The 19429-nt window shown below is 43.4% G+C and overlaps 13 annotated features.

The window, feature by feature from the left end:
* Nucleotides 1193-1392: a silencer, noted in NCBI's record as "silent region_7735". NCBI's record gives its function as "represses an Ori minimal core promoter by ATAC-STARR-seq in GM12878 lymphoblastoid cells {active_cell/tissue: GM12878}" and the evidence as "EXISTENCE:reporter gene assay evidence [ECO:0000049][PMID:35858748]".
* Nucleotides 6330-6499: an enhancer, noted in NCBI's record as "experimental_45539 CRE fragment used in MPRA reporter constructs". NCBI's record gives its function as "activates a minimal promoter by MPRAs in K562 erythroleukemia cells, with activity observed for both the introgressed and non-introgressed 16:78031906 variant alleles {active_cell/tissue: K562}" and the evidence as "EXISTENCE:reporter gene assay evidence [ECO:0000049][PMID:34662402]".
* Nucleotides 7156-7325: an enhancer, noted in NCBI's record as "experimental_45524 CRE fragment used in MPRA reporter constructs". NCBI's record gives its function as "activates a minimal promoter by MPRAs in K562 erythroleukemia cells, with activity observed for both the introgressed and non-introgressed 16:78031080 variant alleles {active_cell/tissue: K562}" and the evidence as "EXISTENCE:reporter gene assay evidence [ECO:0000049][PMID:34662402]".
* Nucleotides 7832-9031: an enhancer, noted in NCBI's record as "MED14-independent group 3 enhancer chr16:78029289-78030488 (GRCh37/hg19 assembly coordinates)". NCBI's record gives its function as "activates an origin of replication core promoter dependent on BRD2, BRD4, P300/CBP and CDK7 cofactors, and independent of MED14, by STARR-seq in HCT116 cells {active_cell/tissue: HCT116}" and the evidence as "EXISTENCE:reporter gene assay evidence [ECO:0000049][PMID:35650434]".
* Nucleotides 7972-8471: an enhancer, noted in NCBI's record as "H3K27ac hESC enhancer chr16:78029849-78030348 (GRCh37/hg19 assembly coordinates)". NCBI's record gives its function as "activates a minimal SCP1, AML or CMV promoter by ChIP-STARR-seq in primed H9 embryonic stem cells {active_cell/tissue: H9 hESC(primed)}" and the evidence as "EXISTENCE:reporter gene assay evidence [ECO:0000049][PMID:30033119]".
* Nucleotides 8472-8973: an enhancer, noted in NCBI's record as "H3K27ac hESC enhancer chr16:78029347-78029848 (GRCh37/hg19 assembly coordinates)". NCBI's record gives its function as "activates a minimal SCP1, AML or CMV promoter by ChIP-STARR-seq in primed H9 embryonic stem cells {active_cell/tissue: H9 hESC(primed)}" and the evidence as "EXISTENCE:reporter gene assay evidence [ECO:0000049][PMID:30033119]".
* Nucleotides 9251-9943: an enhancer, noted in NCBI's record as "H3K27ac hESC enhancer chr16:78028377-78029069 (GRCh37/hg19 assembly coordinates)". NCBI's record gives its function as "activates a minimal SCP1, AML or CMV promoter by ChIP-STARR-seq in naive H9 embryonic stem cells {active_cell/tissue: H9 hESC(naive)}" and the evidence as "EXISTENCE:reporter gene assay evidence [ECO:0000049][PMID:30033119]".
* Nucleotides 10637-11329: an enhancer, noted in NCBI's record as "OCT4-NANOG-H3K27ac hESC enhancer chr16:78026991-78027683 (GRCh37/hg19 assembly coordinates)". NCBI's record gives its function as "activates a minimal SCP1, AML or CMV promoter by ChIP-STARR-seq in primed H9 embryonic stem cells {active_cell/tissue: H9 hESC(primed)}" and the evidence as "EXISTENCE:reporter gene assay evidence [ECO:0000049][PMID:30033119]".
* Nucleotides 11330-12023: an enhancer, noted in NCBI's record as "OCT4-NANOG-H3K27ac hESC enhancer chr16:78026297-78026990 (GRCh37/hg19 assembly coordinates)". NCBI's record gives its function as "activates a minimal SCP1, AML or CMV promoter by ChIP-STARR-seq in naive and primed H9 embryonic stem cells {active_cell/tissue: H9 hESC(naive and primed)}" and the evidence as "EXISTENCE:reporter gene assay evidence [ECO:0000049][PMID:30033119]".
* Nucleotides 12024-12716: an enhancer, noted in NCBI's record as "OCT4-NANOG-H3K27ac hESC enhancer chr16:78025604-78026296 (GRCh37/hg19 assembly coordinates)". NCBI's record gives its function as "activates a minimal SCP1, AML or CMV promoter by ChIP-STARR-seq in naive and primed H9 embryonic stem cells {active_cell/tissue: H9 hESC(naive and primed)}" and the evidence as "EXISTENCE:reporter gene assay evidence [ECO:0000049][PMID:30033119]".
* Nucleotides 12024-13249: a biological region, named in NCBI's record as "MED14-independent group 3 enhancer GRCh37_chr16:78025071-78026270".
* Nucleotides 12050-13249: an enhancer, noted in NCBI's record as "MED14-independent group 3 enhancer chr16:78025071-78026270 (GRCh37/hg19 assembly coordinates)". NCBI's record gives its function as "activates an origin of replication core promoter dependent on BRD2, BRD4, P300/CBP and CDK7 cofactors, and independent of MED14, by STARR-seq in HCT116 cells {active_cell/tissue: HCT116}" and the evidence as "EXISTENCE:reporter gene assay evidence [ECO:0000049][PMID:35650434]".
* Nucleotides 18032-18201: an enhancer, noted in NCBI's record as "experimental_45488 CRE fragment used in MPRA reporter constructs". NCBI's record gives its function as "activates a minimal promoter by MPRAs in K562 erythroleukemia cells, with activity observed for both the introgressed and non-introgressed 16:78020204 variant alleles {active_cell/tissue: K562}" and the evidence as "EXISTENCE:reporter gene assay evidence [ECO:0000049][PMID:34662402]".

The raw sequence follows: 19429 nt of genomic DNA, 5'->3' as shown, positions 1-19429 counted from the left end.
AGATACAAGAGTAAACCTGACTGACAAATATCCCTGCCCTCATAGAGCTTATATTCTAATGTTTACTGACATCTTCTCTCTTGAGAGCTATTCCATGAATTTTTAATTAATGTCCACTAGTATCTGAGATAAAATTTATTTTCACCCAAGGAAGATCATACAGCTTTTTTTCTGCCCAGCATTTTTTTTTTCCACGTAGATACAAAACCTGAGTTGTGAGAAATGCATTCTTAGTGGTTTGGGTGGAGATGAACAGCTCCTGTTCCAGTGTTCTACAGGCAGACAAGTGAACCACATATGAACACCCAGAGAAGCTTACTTATCTCTGGGCTGGAGGCTTCTCTGGGGCTTAAGCATCAGAACTATCAATAGGACTTTATTTCCTCCCTGCTGAGCTTGCTGAAGAGACAGTCACTGGTGCTGAAGGTTCACATCCCATCTCACCCCCACAGAGAGGGTGAAACAGTGTTACATCTTTCGACCTCCTGAGTTCATTGGTGCTAAAATCAAATAAATACCTTACAGAATGGACCCACCTACTTACTGTTTTTCCTCTGCCATTTCCCTCACTTTCTACTTTCCCGCTCTCATCTCTCTCGTTTTCAGTATTTATTGAATTTTTTTTAGTTTCCTATTTGTGTAACAAATGACCACAAACTCTGAGGCTTGTTTATGATATGATCATATTCATGATGAGTTTCTACAGGTCAAGAGTCTGGGCTTAGCTTATCCCCTGCTCAGTTTCGCTCAGTCGTCCAGGCTGGAGTGCAGTGGAGTGATCTCAGCTCACTGGAACCTCTGCATCCCAGGGTCAAGTGAGTCTCGTGCCTCAGCCTCCCGAGTAGCTGAGATTACAGGCATGCACCACCACGCCTGGCTAATTTTTGCATTTGTAGTAGAGAGGGGGTTACACCATGTTGGCCAGGCTGGCCTTGAACTCCTGGCCTCAAGCAGTCCTCCCCTGCTTTGGGCTCCCAAAGGGCTGGGATTACAGGAGTGACCCACTGCGCCTGGCTGAGAAAAGGATATTTTAAGCGAGTTATCAGAGTTGATGCAGAACCCTGTGTAAGCCATACTCCCTGCCTCCAGGCCTCAGTTTCACCATTGGGAATGATTTAACTAATGCCAGCACATTCCTTTCAGCGCTATAAGACGAAGTCGTTGTTACCTCCATAGCCCAGCAAATTGCCTGGCAACATTACAGGAGCTAGACAAATGTCCGCTGGATCAACCAATGAGAGTGGAGTGGAAATTAAGATAAATTAGCTGTGTGTCCCGGACTGACCACTAGGTGGCAGGAGGCTGACGCCAAGTCCAAGCTTGGTACCCGGTTGCTGGCTGGCTGGGAGCCTTCTGGGAGGAGCCTTGAATGTCCTTTTAGGCTGGGGCTTGTCATGGCGGCGGAAGAGGGGGAAGGGAGGGAGGCAGAAGGTGAGGTCTCTTTCACAAAAGGTCTGACACTTAGACTTTCCCCTTTATCCTCAAATGAATTTATTTCCATTGCCATAGAAATTCACAGATAGGATTGAGAAAAAGCTTTTCATGCAACTGTAGATCTGTATATTTTTATAAATTTAGCATCTAATTTTTAAAAATATATTGGAACATCTTAGTTGCAAGCTCTTTCTCCCCTTCCCATGAGCCATCCCACACTCCTGACCTACAGACCCAGGTATAGAACAGGGCCTCCCCTGTCATGGTGAGATGACACTGGGCTGTGCAGTCTCAGATCATTTCCATCACAGGAGAGGCCCGGGTCCTAACCAGCACTTTTCAAAATGCAGCAGAATCGCCTGGGGCTGCTGTACATAAAAATGCAGATTCCTAGGCAATGGCAGTCTCCGTAGATCAGAATCTCTGGGAGGGCTTTAGTCTGCAATTGTGTTGGCTTTTCACAAGTCTCCTAGGATTCTGAGGTACAACTGAAGTTTGAGAAACACTCCCTTAGGCTTTCTGGGGAGCCTTTCTGGGGCTCTCATCAGCCCTCTTGGAGGTCCAGAGATGCTCCAGCTACCTCCAGCTTCACACACACACACACACACACACACACACACACACACACACACACGTGCATACACGTGCATATGTACATACACATATGTTTTTTGTTTTCTGGATTACGTGCACAATGATGCATGTACATTCTACAAATCCATAGATTATAAAAGCAAATAATGTAGGAAATAGAAATCCTCTATGATATTGTAGACCGGAGAGAGCTGCTGTTGGTAATTGCTATTTTAACTGCCTCCAATCCTGATGCATCCCCTATTTAGGTACTAAAAATGTAGCAGAGTTTTTTCTCCCAGGAAAGCTTCATAAAAGCAAAATAGGGTGCCCACCCTCATCTAACAAATAACTCATGGCTTCTTTATGACCAAATACGTTTTTTTTTCCCCTCCTGGAGAAATCAAATGTCAATGTGGACCTGTAGCACTATGACATCAAATTCTCTACTCCTGAAGGTGAAGGGCAGGGCTCCTGTACTTGTTTCAGGATTTTTTAAGGAGGTGCAACAGGATTTGCACTGCAGGCTCAGTGACTTAGCTATCACATTAGCATGTGTTATTGGGAAACAGTCCAGAGTCCAAGTTCAAGGATTTCTTACAACTTTTGTTTTTACTTTATAGTGAAGTTTAAAGTTTTTGAAATATGTACTTGTCACTGTAATCTTTTGAGACTTCCTTTTCTTACTGAGGTTAAAATTGTCCAGCTATGCTAATGAGTTGATGGTATGTGAGCTCTATGAGCCAAACACTAAGCTAAATGCTTTATGTATATGATCTTAATTCTCTTGATAGCCCAACAGACTGATGGCTGTTATCCTCACTCTATTTATAAGGAAAGTGGTGTGGTTACGTGAGGTTATGACAAGCCTGCCCGAGGACCTACAGATCGTAAATCAGCAGTAAGGCCAGGATTTATAAAATCCTTGTAGTTTGACTATAGAGCCATGTCCTTAATCGCTATAATATAGTGGCCATTCAACTTTTTCTGTGACTTGGCCATGAAGAATCATGGTAAATATTTGCTATTCTTCCTAAGGGAGAATTGGCAGCTTTGCTCATTCTATACGATTTCTTGTTTTATTCTCTTGACAATATTGCAAGGTGGTTTAAGCTCCTCCCATTTTGCTGTTCTACAAAATGCAAAGAACATGAGAAAAACCTCCACTGGACTAGATGATCCTAGGTCAGGGTTCCCCAGAGTGTGTTCCCCAGAATTCTGATAAAAGCCTCCATGGGAACTGAGTATTAGAACTCATCTCGGAAGGTCACAGGGCAGCTACTAGTGAGGAAAGGCTCTAAGAAGGTCTGTCATTAAAAGAAAATATTTGGTACCATTAGCAGTACTATTACCATGAACAATATCAAAGTACGATGAAAGGAACTGATACTTACAGAGTATGATAGGCAGAACTTGAAGTTGATTACCCTGCCCTCCCACCCCCTAGTATCTACACCTGTATTATTTTTCACACTGCTGATAAAGACATACCCAAGTCTTAAGAAAGAGGATTAATTGGACTTGCAGTTTCACGTGGCTGGGAAGCCTCACCATCATGGTGGAAAACAATGAGGAGCAAGTCATGTCTTACGTGGATGGCATTGTGTCCAGAGTTGGTTCCTTCTGGTGGGTTCGTGGTCTCACTGACTTCAAGAATGAAGCTGTGGACTTTTGCGGTGAGTGTTACAGCTCTTAAAAGTGGTGTGGAACCAAAGAGTGAGCAGCAGCAAGATTTATCCTGAAGAGTGAAAGAACAAAACTTCCATGGCGTGGAAGGGGACCTCGAGCGGGTTGCCGCTGCTGGCTAGGAGATGGCCAGCTTTTATTCCCTTATTTGTCCTCACCCATGTCCTGCTGATTGGTCCATTTTACAGAGTGCTGATTGGTCCATTTTACAAACCTCTAGCTAGCTACAGAGTGCTGATTGGTGCGTTTTTACAGAGCACTGATTGTTGCATTTTACAAATCTCTAGCTAGCTACAGAGCGCTGATTGGTGTGTTTTACAATCCTAGCTACAGAGTGCTTGATTGGTGCATGTTATAATCCTCTTGTAAGACAGAAAAGTTCTCCAAGTCTGCACTCAACCCAGGAAGTCCAGCTGGCTTCACCTCTTAGCAGCAAGCAAAATAAGAGAACTTGTGCAGTGGAACTCCTCTTTTTAAAACCATCATATCTTGTGATACTCATTCCCTATTAGGAGAACAGTGCAGGAAAGACCCGCCCCTATAATTCAATCACCTCTCACCAGGTTCGTCCTACAACACATGGCAATTGTGGGAGTTACAATTCAAGATGGGATTTGGGTGGGGACACAGGCAAACCATATCAACACCCTTATAGAATCTCCTTCCCTTGAGTTTGCATGGAACCTGTGATTTGCTTCAAACCAGTAAAATATGACAAGGTGAAGGGATTGATTCTGCGTATACAATAAAGGTCCCAAATTTGTTGGCTTTGAGTTCACAGATGACCCTGTATGGACCTAGCCTAATACTGGGAGCCCTTTATAAAAGGGTCCTGGCCTTCCATGAAGGGAGAAGTACGCTGCCATGCTGTGAGATGCCCTGTGAGCATGGAAGAGGACTCTGAGCTTCAGCAGGGAATACAGCCTGCTAACAAAAGCATTGCAGGATTGTGAGACCCCAGGCAAACAGCACAGCCAAGGGATGTTCCGATTGCTGACCCATGGAAACTATGAGATAGTAAATGTACATTGCCTTAAGCCCCAAAGTTTGTGGTAACTTATTATGCAGTAATAAAAAACGAATCCAGAGACCTTCTGTAAATGACCCAAGGTCATTTCACACAGCTAAGCAGCAGAAACTCTACTCATAGCTCCAGAGAAATTGAGGCATATACCCAACCATGCCCATACTTAGTGATACGGGAGGGGGGCAGGGAAATGCTAGGTAGAGAAGGGCTGGGTCCCTGGTGAGGGCTCCACTCTTGGGCTTGTGTCCATGGACCTGAGTGAGAACAGGCACTCCTGTTTTTCCACCCAAATGTTGCATTTTCCAAAACCACTGTGGCCTGCCATACCCCAACCTGTGCCCATAAAAACCTGAGACGCTAGTGGGCACAGATACAAGCAGCTAAATATGAAGAGAGAGCAGAAGAACACACTGACATACACTAGCAGACACCGGCAGACCATCGAGGCAGGACAATGTATAATTTAGTCGGGACAGTCAAAGGAGAGTCCAGCTCCTGGGCGGCCTGACTCCCGGGGAAGATCACCTTCCGACTCCATCCCCCTTCTGGCTGCCCATCCACTTCACTGAGAGCTACCTCCACCACTCAGTAAAATCTTGCACCCATCCTCTAAGCCCGTGTATCATCCAATTTTTCTGGTACACTTAGGGCAAGCACCTGGAATACAGAAAGGCCTCTGTATTAGTTTGTTCCTTATGGTAAGATAGAAGGTCTAATTGAGCAATTAATACAAGCTGCCTGCAGACGGCAAAACTGACAGAGTTCACTGTAATACACATCCGCTGGGGCTTTGGGAGCTGGAAACATTCAACCCCAGACACGGCTGTGGGGTGAGAGCCCAAAAGCACTCCTTATAACCTGCCCGTCTGTATGCTCCCCCTAGGGGTTTGAGCAGCAGGGCACCAAAGAAGTGAGCCACACCCCTGTTGCATGCCCTGAGGGAGGAATAAGGGAAAACTCCTCCGTTTCATTAGTCTAATGCCTGTCACATCGCTGGTGCACAATCAAAACGTGTTGAACAAATGAAGGCAGGGTTTGAACCCAGGTCTGTCTCCTTGCATCACATCATATTTTCCTCTTCTACTCTAACATCCTGGGTCATGCTCTGCGCTGGAGCTGTGTGTCTATGAAGCAAGCATACCTTACCTTTGAACTTAATCTTCAGTTCATCAATACATCTGCAAATATTTACTAAGTGTAGCTAAATTCTCTGCCTGACTTGGGATGGACTTGCCATGAAGTTTTGTTTGAAAAAAGAGGAGTTAAATGACCATGAAGTGGTCATGATTACAGGAGGCGGATATATTTAGGTAGGTCAGTGTCTGTGCAGACCACTTCCCCAGCCGAAGGTTGTGATGCAAGGGGCCCTCTTATCTATATGCCAATTGCAGAGATTGACCGTGAATTTGAGGAAATGGCATTTCACATGGATTTCCACCTCTAAATGGCTGTTTCATAGATACTTAGTCAGGTGTTCTTTAGGGTGAAAGTAAGTGTAGGAATATCTGGGCCAAAGATTTTCTCTCTTTTATCAACACACCTTCCCAGAGCTCTTCCTCTCTAGTAGCTGCCCTATGACCTTCTGGGATGAACTCTATTATTATTATTATTATTTTGGGGGGGTAGATGGAGTCTCGCTCTTGTCACCCAGGCTGGAGGGTAATGGTGCAACCTCGGCTCACTGCAAACTCCACCTCCCTGATTCAAGTGATTCTCTTGCCTCACACTCCCGTGTAGCTGGGTTTACAGGTGCGCGCCACCAGACCCAGCTAATTTTTGTGCTTTTAGTAGAGATTGGGTTTCACCATGTTGGTCAGGCTAGTGTCAAACTCATAACCTGAGGTGATCCGCTCACCTCGGCCTTCCAAAGTGCTGGGATTACAGGCATGAGCCACCATGCCTGGCCATGGGATGAACTCTAATACTCAGTTCTTACGGAGGATTTTGGCAGAGAATTCTGGGGAGCACATTCTGGGGAACCCTAATCTAGGATCATCCAGTTGAGTGATTTTGTTTTCCCATTACCATTTTAAACTCATTATTATACTTAAAAATTAAGGGAGGGTAAGGCAGGTGGATCACTTGAGGTCTGGAGTTTGAGACCAAGCCTGGACAACATGGTGAAACCTCATCTCTACTAAAAATACAAAAATTAACTAGGCATGGTGGCCCACACCTATAATCCCAGCTACTCAGGAGGCTGAGGCGCGAGAGTTGCTTGAACCCAGGAGGCAGAGGTTGCAGTGAGCCAAGATTGTGCCACTGCACTCCAGCCTAGGTGACAGAGTGAGACTCCATCTCAAAAAATAATAATAAAACAAATAAAAATTAAGATGTAATTGAACTATCATAAAATTAACCATTTCAAAGTGTACAAGCCCGTGGTTTTTTTTTTTTTTTTTACTATATTTATGAGTTGTGCAACCATCACTACTATCAAATTCCAGGACATTTTCATTTCCTTAAAAGGAAATCCATATCTATCAGTCACTCCTCATTCCTCCTCCCTGTATCCCCGATCTACCTATTGTTTGTATAGACTAATCTAATCTGGATATTTCATATTAATGGAATTAGAGAATATGTGAAGTTTTGTCTTTGGCTTCTTTCATTTAGCATCTACTTTTCAAGATTGGTCCAGTTGGTTTTAAACTTCAGGATGCATCAGAACCTCTTGGGGATCTTACTAAAGTTCAGTTTTTCTGGCTCCTGTAAAATTGTTGGTTTGGTTTGTCTGGGGTGGGAATCAAGAATCTACCTCTTTGGGCTGGGTGCTATGGCTCACACCTGTACTCCTAGCGGTTTGGGAGGCCAAAGTGGGAGGATCATTTGAAGTCAGGAGTTCGAGACCAGCCTGGCCAAGATGGCGAAACCCTGTCTCTACTAAAAATACAAAAATTAGCTGGGTGTAGAGGCATACACCTATAGTCCCAGCTACTTGGGAGGCTGAGGTAGGAGAATTGCTTGAACCTGGGAGGCAGAGGTTGCAGTGAGCCAAGATGGTGCCACTGCACTCCAGCCTGGGCAACCAAGAGGAACTCCATCTCAAAAAAAAAAAAAAAAAAAAAAAAAAAAATACAGAATCTACCTCTTTGACAATTTCTCTGGGTGACTCTGTTGCAGGCAGACCAGAGACCAACTTTGAGATCCTCCAGCCTAGTTCAATGCTCTCCTTTTTCACAGGAGGAGGTTGAGGCTCAAAGAGGAAAAGTGGTGTCATGGAGGTCACACAGCTGCAACACTCCATCCAGGGCTTGTCTTGGGTTTGAGATGTGAGGCTCAGGCTTCTATCTCACTCTTTGGACCCAGTACTGTTGTGATTTAGGAGCTAAGAAGAAATTACTTAGATAGTGAAGGTATGGAAGTCCGTTAGAAACGAGCTCAGAATTGAAAGGAAAATGAGCACTCAAAGGATTTCTCAGCAAGGCAAATTTACTTCTGCAGAAGGGTGCTGCTCATACTTCTGGCAGCTGCAAGAGCACACCAAACAAAGGAGAGAAGGAGTTTTTATCCCTAACGCAGTCCCTATCCCTGTGTCCTTCCCCTATTGGCTAGGGTTAGACTGCATAATCTAAGCTGACCCCGATTGACTAAGACTTAAACTTTTCCAAGTAGGGTAAATGTGTGATTCGCAAGGGAGGGAGGGGGCAGTAGTGGTCCCTCTACTACAGCACAAAGCATGTTCAGACGTGTCCGGGCAAGTCAGGGCACAACAAGAGCAGGAGGGCTGCTCTCAGACTAGAAACAAAGTACAAGGAGATGAGGCCTCCAAACCAAGGACAAGGACATTACACAATTAACCCTTTGAAGAGGAATTCATCATCTCTGGCAAAGTCCTTGGTAAGGTTTCCCTTTTAATGTAAAGCAGCCCCTAAATCATATTCCTTTCTAGCAAAGAACATCCTGTAAAATCAAGCTGCAGACATAAGCAAGCTGGAAGCTTGCATGGGTGAATGCCCACAGTTGTGCCCATAGGAATATACTACTTGGGAATAGGCATGTTCAAAATGGCAGCTCCATCTTCTTTTTTTGCCAGCCACGTGTAGAAGTAAGCAGCAGACAAGATGGCCCTGGCCAAGTGGAAAGCCCATTTGCATAATAAGATTAGGTTGGGGTGACCAGCCTTTTCCCGATACTATGTAAACATCACATATGGTCAAACCAATCTGTGAGCCCTATGTAAATCAGCCACTGCCTCCTCAAGCCTGCCTATAAAATCTGCTGTGGTCCACACCTTTCCCCCACTTTTTTTTTCCTTAGCATCTCTCTCACAAGGAACTGCTCTCATCTCTCCTTTCTTTTGCGTGTTAAACTTTCCACTCCTTAACCTATCCACATGTGTCTGTGTCCTTAATTTTCTTGGAGTGAGATGACAAACCCGGTTTTTACCCCAGACAACAATGCTGCTTCAGTAGGTTTTTCTCACAGATATCCCTGTTTGTTCTTTATAATAATTCCTTGTGGGATTCTCTGGCATCTTGCTAGAACTCACGTACCACCATCCCACCAATGCCCCAAAATTAAAAAATGACCTGATGGTTATTAGGCACGTAGACATTTGGGAAGGTTTACAGAAGACCTGGATTCTGAAGCTGTAGTTGCTTCTTGTGGCCTAATAGTCAAGCCACATGTCTTCTGAGCTAGGGGTTGCATAGGTTTGGTCCTACCTGCTATAAGGTTTCCAGATTTAAAAATACGGGTTGGATGGATGCCCAGTTACATTGAAATTTCAGATAAACAATAACTTTTGTGGTATAAGTATGTATCATGTTATATTTGGAACATAATTATACTAAAAAATTGTTCCCCCATTGTTTGTGTGAAATTCCAATATAACTGCATATTCTGTTTTTCACTTGGCAACCCACCAAGTGGGTTGCCTCTTTTACTTTCCTTGGGGCAACCCAGCTTAGTGGTTGATAGTGGCCAAGAACATAGTTTCTGGAGGCATACAGCTTGGATCTGAATCCTGGTATCATGTAGCTGGCTGTAGAACCAGGGTGAGTTGGTTAACTTTTCTTAGCCTCAGTTTCTTCATCTATGAAACAAAAGCACAGTCTCATGTGGTGATGTTACCAGAAAGGGGTCCTGATCCAGACCCCAAGAGAGGGTTCTTGGACCCCATGCAAGAAAGAATTCAGGGTGAGTCCATAGTACAAAGCAAAAGCAAGTTTATTAAAAAAGTAAAGTGGTGAAAGTACAGCCATTCCATAGACAGAGTAGGGCATTCCCTAAACTAAGGGGGAACGCATCCACCTAGGTACAATACTTATGTGTGTGTGCGTATGTGTATATATATATGAGATAAGAAAAGATCATGGGAGGCTGGGCGCAGTGGCTCATGCCTGTAATCCCAGCCCTTTTGGAGGCCGAGGTGGGCGGATCACGAGGTCAGTAGATTGAGACCATCCTGGCTAATATGGTGAAACCCCGTCTCTACTAAAAATACAAAAAATTAGCCGGGCGTGGTGGCGGGTGCCTGTAGTCCCAGCTACTCGGAAGGCTGAGGTAGGAGAATGGCATGAACCCAGGATGCAGAACTTGCAGTGAGCCGAGATTGTGCCACTGCACTCCAGCCTGGGTAACAGAGCAAGACTCTGTCTCAAGAAAAAAAAAAGAAAAAAGAAAAGATCATGGGGAGATGAGCTCTGCTACAATGGTTTGTGATAAAGGATTAATTTTCTTAATTACTATATTTTGCAAGAATCAATATTATCTTTCAAGCAAAATTAGGAATGCTTCTCTTCTCAAGATATGGGGATATCGGGACCCTCCCAAGTCTGGGTCTGTTTAGTAAACACTATGAATCTGCTCCCTTAACCATAAACATCTAGAAGCTAGGAATACCTCACTTTCTGGGAATGCAGCCCAGCAAGTCTCGGCCTCATTTTCCTAGCCCTCACTCAGGACGGAGTTGCTCTGTTTCAAACTCCTCTGACAGTGAGAGGATTAAATGAAATAATCCATCAAGATTGCTTAGCAGGGATTCTTCCTGGTGTTAACAGATAAATAAATATGACTGGGGATTCCCAGTACTCTCTCAGTACCACATTAAAAATTCTATGGAGGTTGCTTTGGTAGTTGGTGGCACTGAAGCTTAGCCCTTTTAAAGTACTGGGACCATTTTGGGGGGGCCATTTCAGGGAGTTCTATCTCATTTGTGGGACTGCAGATGCTTGGCAGCTGGATATAGACTACAGGATTGGTGGGCAGATGGTTTCTCTTTCCATCTGGGTCTCCTGATGTGGGGAACAGAACTTCTCTCCTGATGACTCATTGTTGAAGCTGGGTTTAGCCAGCATTTAAATAGAAACGCCTGGCTGCAGACAATATTGTCACCACCCAAAAGTGAGGTCTGTTTCAAAACTGTTGTGAGCAAAGTGGATTTCTAACAGGCAAAACCAGTGTATTAAATTTAACATACTGGCACATCTTCTCAGCCAAGAGCTGTGCAAAAATGTCAGGCTGCTCTGTCCTACCGCCTTCCCTGGTTTTAGCTACTCAATGGGTCAAAGTTTCTGCAAGCCTCATTTGCTTGAGAGAAGGTTTCCCCAGGTTGAATGCTCTTACCACTGGCGCACATACATTAAAGAGCTTTGGATCACACTGGGGGAAATGCTTTTTCTTTTCCAATGCTCTCCAAACCTTGATTATAGTATCGAGGTAGTTTTTTATCTTGATGGTGGTATGCCTTTTAAAATCTTTCTAAAATGTGCCTCTTTCTTTTTTATTAAGAAACTGGTCTCCAGTATTAGAGAATTTGATGGGCAATAGTTTTTAACTTGCCACTGGGGATTAAGGTCTGATTTTTTTTTTTTTTTCTTATCTTGCCCAAATATCTAAGGGGTCTGGGAAGTCCTGCCCTGCAAACCATAAATTCTCATCAGATGGGTTTTATTTAACCCTATATATCATGACTCACATTCCAATCTGACTCTGGCATAACATTATGTGACAAAGAAGAAAATCAAAATATTTTACCCCAAAACATGTTTCTTTCCCATCTCTTGAAATCGCCCTGCAAAGCTGTCCTTTGTGTGGGAAAATTTACATCTGTAAAGAATCTCTTAACATAGCTACATCTTTTTCTTTCAAGCCCTCCCAATCCCAAAGAGATTAACTGAGAGTCTAGCACCTTTTAAAGGTCTTGAGTAGGAAACATTTACATCTATTGTCTCTAAGGGCAGCCACTATGAGACTTCAAAAGAACCTTGGTCTCCACAGTCTTTTATCTTAACCTGAACTTTTCCTTTCTATTGATTCCAGGTCTTTAGACAAACTTGACCAATTGTCAACCAGAAAACGTTTAAATTTACATACAGCCTGGAAGCCCCCTCACTTTGTACAGCCTTTCTTGGACCAAACAAATGTATTCCTCAAATATATTCGATTGATGTCTCGTGCCTCCCTAAAATATATAAAACCAAGCTGCACCCCAACCACCTTGTACATAAGTTCTCAGGACCTCCTGACGGCTGTGTCTTGGGCCATGGTCACTCATATTTGGGTCAGAATAAATCTCTTCAAATATTTTACAAAGCGTTAGAAACAAGAGCTTGGAGTTGGAAGGAAACCAGCAGTCAAAGGATTTCTCAGCAAGCCAGATTTACTTCTGCAGAAGGGTGCTGCTTACACTTCTGGTTGCTGGGAGGGCATACCCCACAAAATAGGGAAGGGGTTTTTATCCCTAATGTGGTTAGTCCCTCCTTCTGTGTCCTGTCCCCGTTGGTTGGAGTTGGACTGGACAATCTAAACTGAACCGATTGGCTACAGTTTAAAATTGAATATGGCTAATTAGATGGGAAGGGAGAGGCTGTCCATTATGGTACAAGGCATGTTTGGGCATGTCAGGGCACGGCAAAGGCAGGAAGAGCTGTTTAGGCAGGAGGGGCAGCTTACAGAATGGGTAGCCAGGAGCAAAGAGGACTCTTTCCAAACAACGGAGATGTGAATTACAGATTGGGACTGGCAAGAGATATTTAAAGAGCAGGTAGCTTAGGAGAAGGGACAAGGAAAAGCTGATCTTGAGAATGAAGAACAAAGAGGTCAAAAACTAAAGCTTTGAAGCAGAACTCACTGTATCTGACAAAAGTTAGATTTTTTTCGTCGACAACTCTAATAACATGTTTTATGATATTAATTTTGTTAGTGATTTTTGGTAACTTTTTATTATGATTTCTAGCTTATTGAAAAGTTGCAAAAATTATATAAGGAATTTTTTTATCCTATATCCAGATTCACCTGACTACATTTTGCCCCGTTTGTTTTATAATCTTCATTCTGTCTCTTGATGCGTATTTATTTTGGAACCCTGAGAAAATGAATGTTGTCTTCAACATTCAACATCAGTCTCCTTTACACCTAAGTACTCAAGTGTGTAATTCCTAAGACGTTCTCTCATATACACACAATGCAATAATCAAAATCAGGAAACATGATATTGATGCAACGCTGCGCTCTAATCTAGTGCATATGCAAATTTCATCAATTGTCCTGATAATGTTCTGTATAAGTTCCCCCCAACTGCTACTGCCTCACTCCAGAATTCAGTCCAGGATCACACATTGTATTTAGCTGTCTTGTCTACTATTTGGACTCTTTAAATTTGTAACAGTTCTTTAGCCTTTTTTTTGGCCCTTTTGATTTTGCCATGTTTGAGGAGTACAGGCCATTTTCTGGGATTATTTTCTTAGAATGTTCCTCAGATTGGGTTTGCCTGATGTTTTTTCCTGAATAAATTTAGTTGTGCATATTTTGGCGTGGATATTAAGGAAGTGATGTTGTGTCCCTCTCAGTGCATACTATTAGGAAGCAAGTAGTGTCGGCTGGTTCACATTGGTGGTGTCACCTTTGATCCCTTGGTTAAGATGTAGCCTGCTGGGCTTCTCAACAATAAAGTTATCAATTTTCACTTTGTAATTAATTGGTAATTTGTGGGGAAACATTTGAGGCAAGGAAAACCTGCTACTCATTAAACTTTCACCAACGACTTGATTTTCTAACTCCATTTTGTTTGTATTTATTTGTTGGCATTTGACTACAGTTGCATATTAGTTATTGCTGGGCTCATGGGTTTTTATTTTATTCGTGGGTTATGATCTACTATGTATTTATTTTGTGCTGAAATTGCTCCATATTTGACCAGTGGGACTCCCTAACCTTGCTCCATGGTATTAATGCTTATAATTGCCTTCTATTCATGGACAATATTTATTTTCCATTTATGGTAGTAATATAATTTAAAAATACATTTATATGACTTTAAAAGTAGGTGGATTTAAAGAGAAGCATTAATGATGTAATGGGGTATGTGTTGAGGGGGAGGTGTGTATACGTGCATGTGTGTATATATATCTACATATATAATATTAAAAAATATTAGTGATACCCGGGACCTAGGTATGGCAAAAATCACAAAGTGGTACACAAAAAATTGAAATTTGGCAAATACTGCTCTTGATCCATGAATATGTTGGCTGTATTTTTTTGTACTTCAAATATTTGACCATTACGTCTTAATGAAAAATCTGGACTGTTTCAGGAATGACTATAGTTTGGCATTCATACTCTCTTAGGCTGCTCTTGTCACTGATGTGCGATAAAAATCCTTTGCCAGCTATGTGTCCTGATCTTTTTAAAATAAATGTGCTTTTTATATGGATGTAACCGGGAAGTGGAACCATCTGAGTTATAACCCTGGCACATGATTCAAGACCCAGTTCAAAGGCTCTCTTTTTATCAGATAGGGTTCTTCGGTTGCATGTAACAGAAATCAGGTCTGGCTAACTTAAGCTCACAGAATCCAATTTTAAAACTTCTGGTCTCAGAGAAAAATAGAAACTTAAGCAGCTTTGGGGATCTGGGTATCAGGAATTCATGGAGAGTATCTTTAGGGCACTGTCTTTTTTTTTTTTTTTTTTTTTTTTTTTTTGAGACAAAGTCTTGCTCTTGTCCACCAGGCTGGAGTGCAATGTTAGGATCTCGGCTCACTGCAACGTCCACCTCCCGGGTTCAAGCGATTCTCCTGCCTCAGCCTCCTGAGTAGCTGGGATTACAGGCGCCTGCCACCACACCTGGCTAATTTTTGTATTTTTAGTAGAGATGGGGTTTTACCATGTTGGCCATTCTGGTTCCGAACTCCTGATCTCAGGTAATCTGCCTGCCTCAGCCTCCCAAGTGCTGGGATTATAGATGTGAGCCACTGTGCCCGGCCAAGGACGTTGTCTTTAGAATGAATGAGCTCTACCCTATTTGTCTGTGTTTGCATCTCTCTTCTTAAACTTCAAATTACTAGAACATTCATTTGACCTTCCCTGGGTCATGAGCCTCACTTGAGTAAGCAAGGGCTAGGCACGTTGATTTACAGAAACCCCAACACAATATATAAAGGGTGGGTCTTTCCCCAGAGGAAAATCAGGGGCAATGGACAAAACACATCACAATTACAGTTGCTTATGTACCAGGCACTCACATAAGCATCTTACACCTACTGACTCATTTAATATACACCATAACCTGATAACACTTCAGCATCATCATACCCTGCTACAGAGGAGCCAGCAAAGGTCCAGAGATCAAATAACTTGGTCAAGGTCATCCAGCTAGTAACTATACAGCTGGTCAGGATTCAAACCCAGGCCATCTGTCTTCAGAGTCTCTAGTTTTGACCACAGAACTATGAGCCAAATTTGGCAGGCAAAACCAAGAGTGTCCATCCCACCTCCATTCCATAGAGCTTCTTTATCCTCTATCCAAACACCACCTCTTCCACTGTTGCGCCCCCAAGCCCCATGCATCTCTTCTCTTTATGCTTCTAGCTTTTTCCTGGTGATTGATGTCCCTGTCTCACACCATCTTCTCAACCATGGACTTTTTTTGGAGGTGGGGAGACAGAGTCTTGCTCTGTTGCCCAGGCTGGAGTACAGTGGCACAATCTTAGCTCACTGCAACCTCCACCTCCTGGGTTCACTCCATTCTCCTGCCTCAGCCTCCTGAGTAACTGGGACTACAGGCGCCGACCACCACGCCTGGCTAATTTTTTGTATTTTTAGTAGAGATGGGGTTTCACCGCGTTAGCCAGGATGGTCTCGATCTCCTGACCTCGTGATCCACCCGCCTCGGCCTCCCAAAGTGCTGGGATTACAGGAGTGAGCCACTGCACCCGGCCCAACCATGGGCTTTTTGCCAGCAGTGGCCAGGCTGTGTTTAACTTCTTCACAACATGCAAAACAGGGCCATACACATAGCCAAGGCTTAGTAATATTTGTAGAACTGAATCAAGTCTCTTTCATAATATTAACATTAGGAGGGAGAGTGAGAGAGAGAACGAGAGGTCCTGAGTAAGAATGGGAGTTTTAAAAATACACTCTGAATTTATCTAGTTAATAATTAAATTATCTAAGTGCAATTTAATGATAGACTGACTTCCTTCATTGCTAGTTGATTAATCTCAAAGGACCATTGGGATAATTAAACTTCTGCCTCCAAACAAAGACAAGCAGAACAGCTCTTAACATCCGCGGTCAGCCTGAGCAGCAGCCTGGGCTCAGTAAATTGATATTTTGTTTGTTTTAGCAAAGGATGAAGAGAACAAATGTATTGTGATTCTTGGGGCTGGTCTGATTCCCTTTTTCCCAGCATAGCCCATTAATTCATCACTGCTGCTGGGTCCTCTCCTGTTGGCCTTGGATAGAGTTCTCCAGGATCAGGAAAACAGCAATAATCCCTTCTCACTCCCTCAGGCTTTTGAAATACTGTGAAGGGCTGGTCCCAGAAGTCAATTTAATTATGACACTAGCTTAGCTGTTGAATAATTTTTTCCAGCTTAAGCAGTAATGCATGTTTTCAGTGACTTGGACATTAGAGAGAACTTGGCTTGGTTTCTAAGCCCTAATTCTGGAAACTCAGTTGCTAGCTGTGTAGTTTTGGGCACTTTATTTTACTTTTCTGTGCTTCATTTTGTCATCAGTTAAATGGAAATAGCATCACTTACTTTATAGGGTTTTTTCTGGGTGTAGTTGGCAAGTTAAGACATGTAAAATGCTTTTACTTGGGTTCCACAATAGTATCCCTCAAGACAAGGACTTGGGTGGAAATGGTTTATTGGGAATGTGATCTCAGAAAGCAGGAGCAGGAGTGGGAGAATGAGACAAGGAAGGAAGAAAAGCCAGTAAGGGGCATGCTGTTGACTGAGTTGCCATTGTGGGAAATTTGCATTTCATCCTGCCAAGGGGCCCTTTGAGCTACTGTGTGGAACACACCTTCAAATCATGCGACTAGAAGGTGGGAAATCTTGGCATTTATCCACTGGCTGCCATCTTCCACTGGTTGAAGCTACGACCTGCCCCCCACCACAGTAACTCTGGGTTACCCCCATGCATTCGTCTCCTGTGATGTTGGAGGAAGCCTGCAGGCACAGTAGAAAGACCAGTGCAGGTGCTTGATGTGGAAAGCTGTCCCCATGCCAGGAACTGTCTATAGCTGCAGGTGAACTCTGGTGCACCAAGACAATATGTGGTGGGTGTCAGTGGTGATTTCTACAGGGGCTTCAAACAGTGTCTGGTACACAATGAGTATTCCATATACTGTAGCTGTAGTGGACATAGGTTTAACCATCCAGCATCACTTCCTATAAGGATCCTTCTGCAGCTTGACATGGTCCTGATTGGCTTATCAATCAGGTTGCTGGAACCTACAGGTGTGGGTATGTGACCCGGGCTGGCCAATCAATAGCCATCCCTCTGCTTCAGTGACTGTTTTACAGACTAGCATGTGACCAAAGATGGGCTAATCGGAGCCTTCCTGAGAGCACCTTGGTTCACACTAAAGCTAGTGAAGAGAAAGTTCTTTTTCTTTGCCAGGTGGTCGTTGGAATGCCTGGCCTCCATCTTGTCCCAGCCATTGAGAGGAGTCTTTCTGTCACATGGAGCCCTGGGTTCTAGACCGGACTCTTCTGCTTTCCGACTGAGTGTACATAGGCAGGCCACCTAACCTCTCTGAAATCCAGGATCCTTATCTGTAAGTGAGGATAATGCCTGATTTTCTAGGCACTGCCGCGATTCAGTGAGGGTATGTGTCAAATGCCTGGCAAGTAGCAAGTCCTCGGCAAATGCTAGTTTCATTTCCATGGTTGGTCTTGATTCAATTCCATTCTATGGGCATCTGTCAACTCTGAGCTCGGGCACGTTTTTGAAAACGATTCCAATCTTTTGAGTGTCAGTGTTTGTGAATATGCTGCATGGGTCATTTGCACTAGTTTTAACTCCCATGAATGGTGATTTACTTTCTGGGAGCTTCTACTTCCATGGAGACGATGCCCCATATCTCCAGAAAGACAGAACCACAGCCCCTCCTTGTCTCACAACTCCTGAAATGGAGAGGAGTTCTTTTGTTCCCATCCATGCCAATTCCATGGGCACCTTATCTCATGACTAAATAGACAATGGGTGGATGCTGGGAGACTGGCCAAAGAACTGTTATTCCAATATGGCACTTTCATCTGTTCCACCTCCCACAACTGAACCAAGTGAAATAGTAAAGCTCATTCTGGGAAGACTTCCCATGGTCTTCTCTTACTTGAGACACTCTCTAGCAATCTCTTGATTCATCCCTCAGTGAATTATTCTGCTTTTAGTACAAAATCCAGAACCTTTGAAGTGAAATCCATGGATTTCCATAATCCAGTCCTATTGATTTTCTATCTTTCCTCTTGATGCATGCAGTGGTTAAGTGGACCATTCCATGAACCTACCCTGGGCTTCCTCACTGATGGACCTAATGATAGTTACTTCTCCTAGATGTCTCTCTTTGCCTGTTCCTGATAGATATTTCTCATCAATTACAGCCTCTTTGCCACTCGGCCCACATAAATGCCCAGTACCAAGGCAGGCTCTACAAACAAATTGCCATTTGCACAATAAGTACCTTATTTATTACCACATAATTAAACTGAGTTCCTGAATGGCAGGGGCTATGCACTTATTTTTGCAGCTAAGACACTAAAAATAATATGTCGGGAACATACTAGGCATTTGATCAGTGTTTTAATGAGTGGAGAAACCTGGTTTTGGAGGCATTTGTTACCTGGCTTTTGGACTGGAATTGTGGGTCATGATTTCAGCCGGGTTACACCTACACTGTTACATTTGATCTAGAATATATACAATATGATCTTCTCCATTTTAATAGGAGAAAGGTCAGACCCCAAGCAAATTCCCCAAGTTTGACCCCTGGTTTGAAAGATTCTAAGGCTTATGCTCTTGCACAGTTGTTTGTGAGTGTGCACTCCTGTGCTGTGTTGATGTTTCAGTTACTCCTGTCTGAGTTTCTTCTTTGTATGGGTGTTTGGGTGCCAATTTGAATAACATACTTCCCAGCATTTTTGCTTGGCTGGCAATAGAAGCTGTGCTCATGGCAGAGAATACCAAAACATTTATTTTATTTTCTCCCACAAACAAATCTGGAAGCAAAATATTGAGATCTATATAGTCTCTGTTGTTTTAAAAAAAAAAAAAAGTAGAAAAAAGAAGCTAGGCCGGGCACAGTGTCTCATGCCTGTAATCCCTGCACTTTGGGAGGCTGAGGCGGGCGGATCACTTGAGGTCAGCAGTTCGAGACCAGCCTGGCCAACATGGTGAAATCCCGTCTCTACTAAAAATACAAAAAAACTAGCTGGCCGTGGTGGCACACACCTGTAATCCCAGCTACTCG

This window comes from Homo sapiens, chromosome 16 (genome assembly GCF_000001405.40).
Source record: "Homo sapiens chromosome 16, GRCh38.p14 Primary Assembly".
Lineage (NCBI taxonomy): Eukaryota > Metazoa > Chordata > Mammalia > Primates > Hominidae > Homo > Homo sapiens.
The sequence above is the reverse complement of the archived record's forward strand: the minus strand, read 5'-3'. Positions and strand labels throughout refer to the sequence as shown.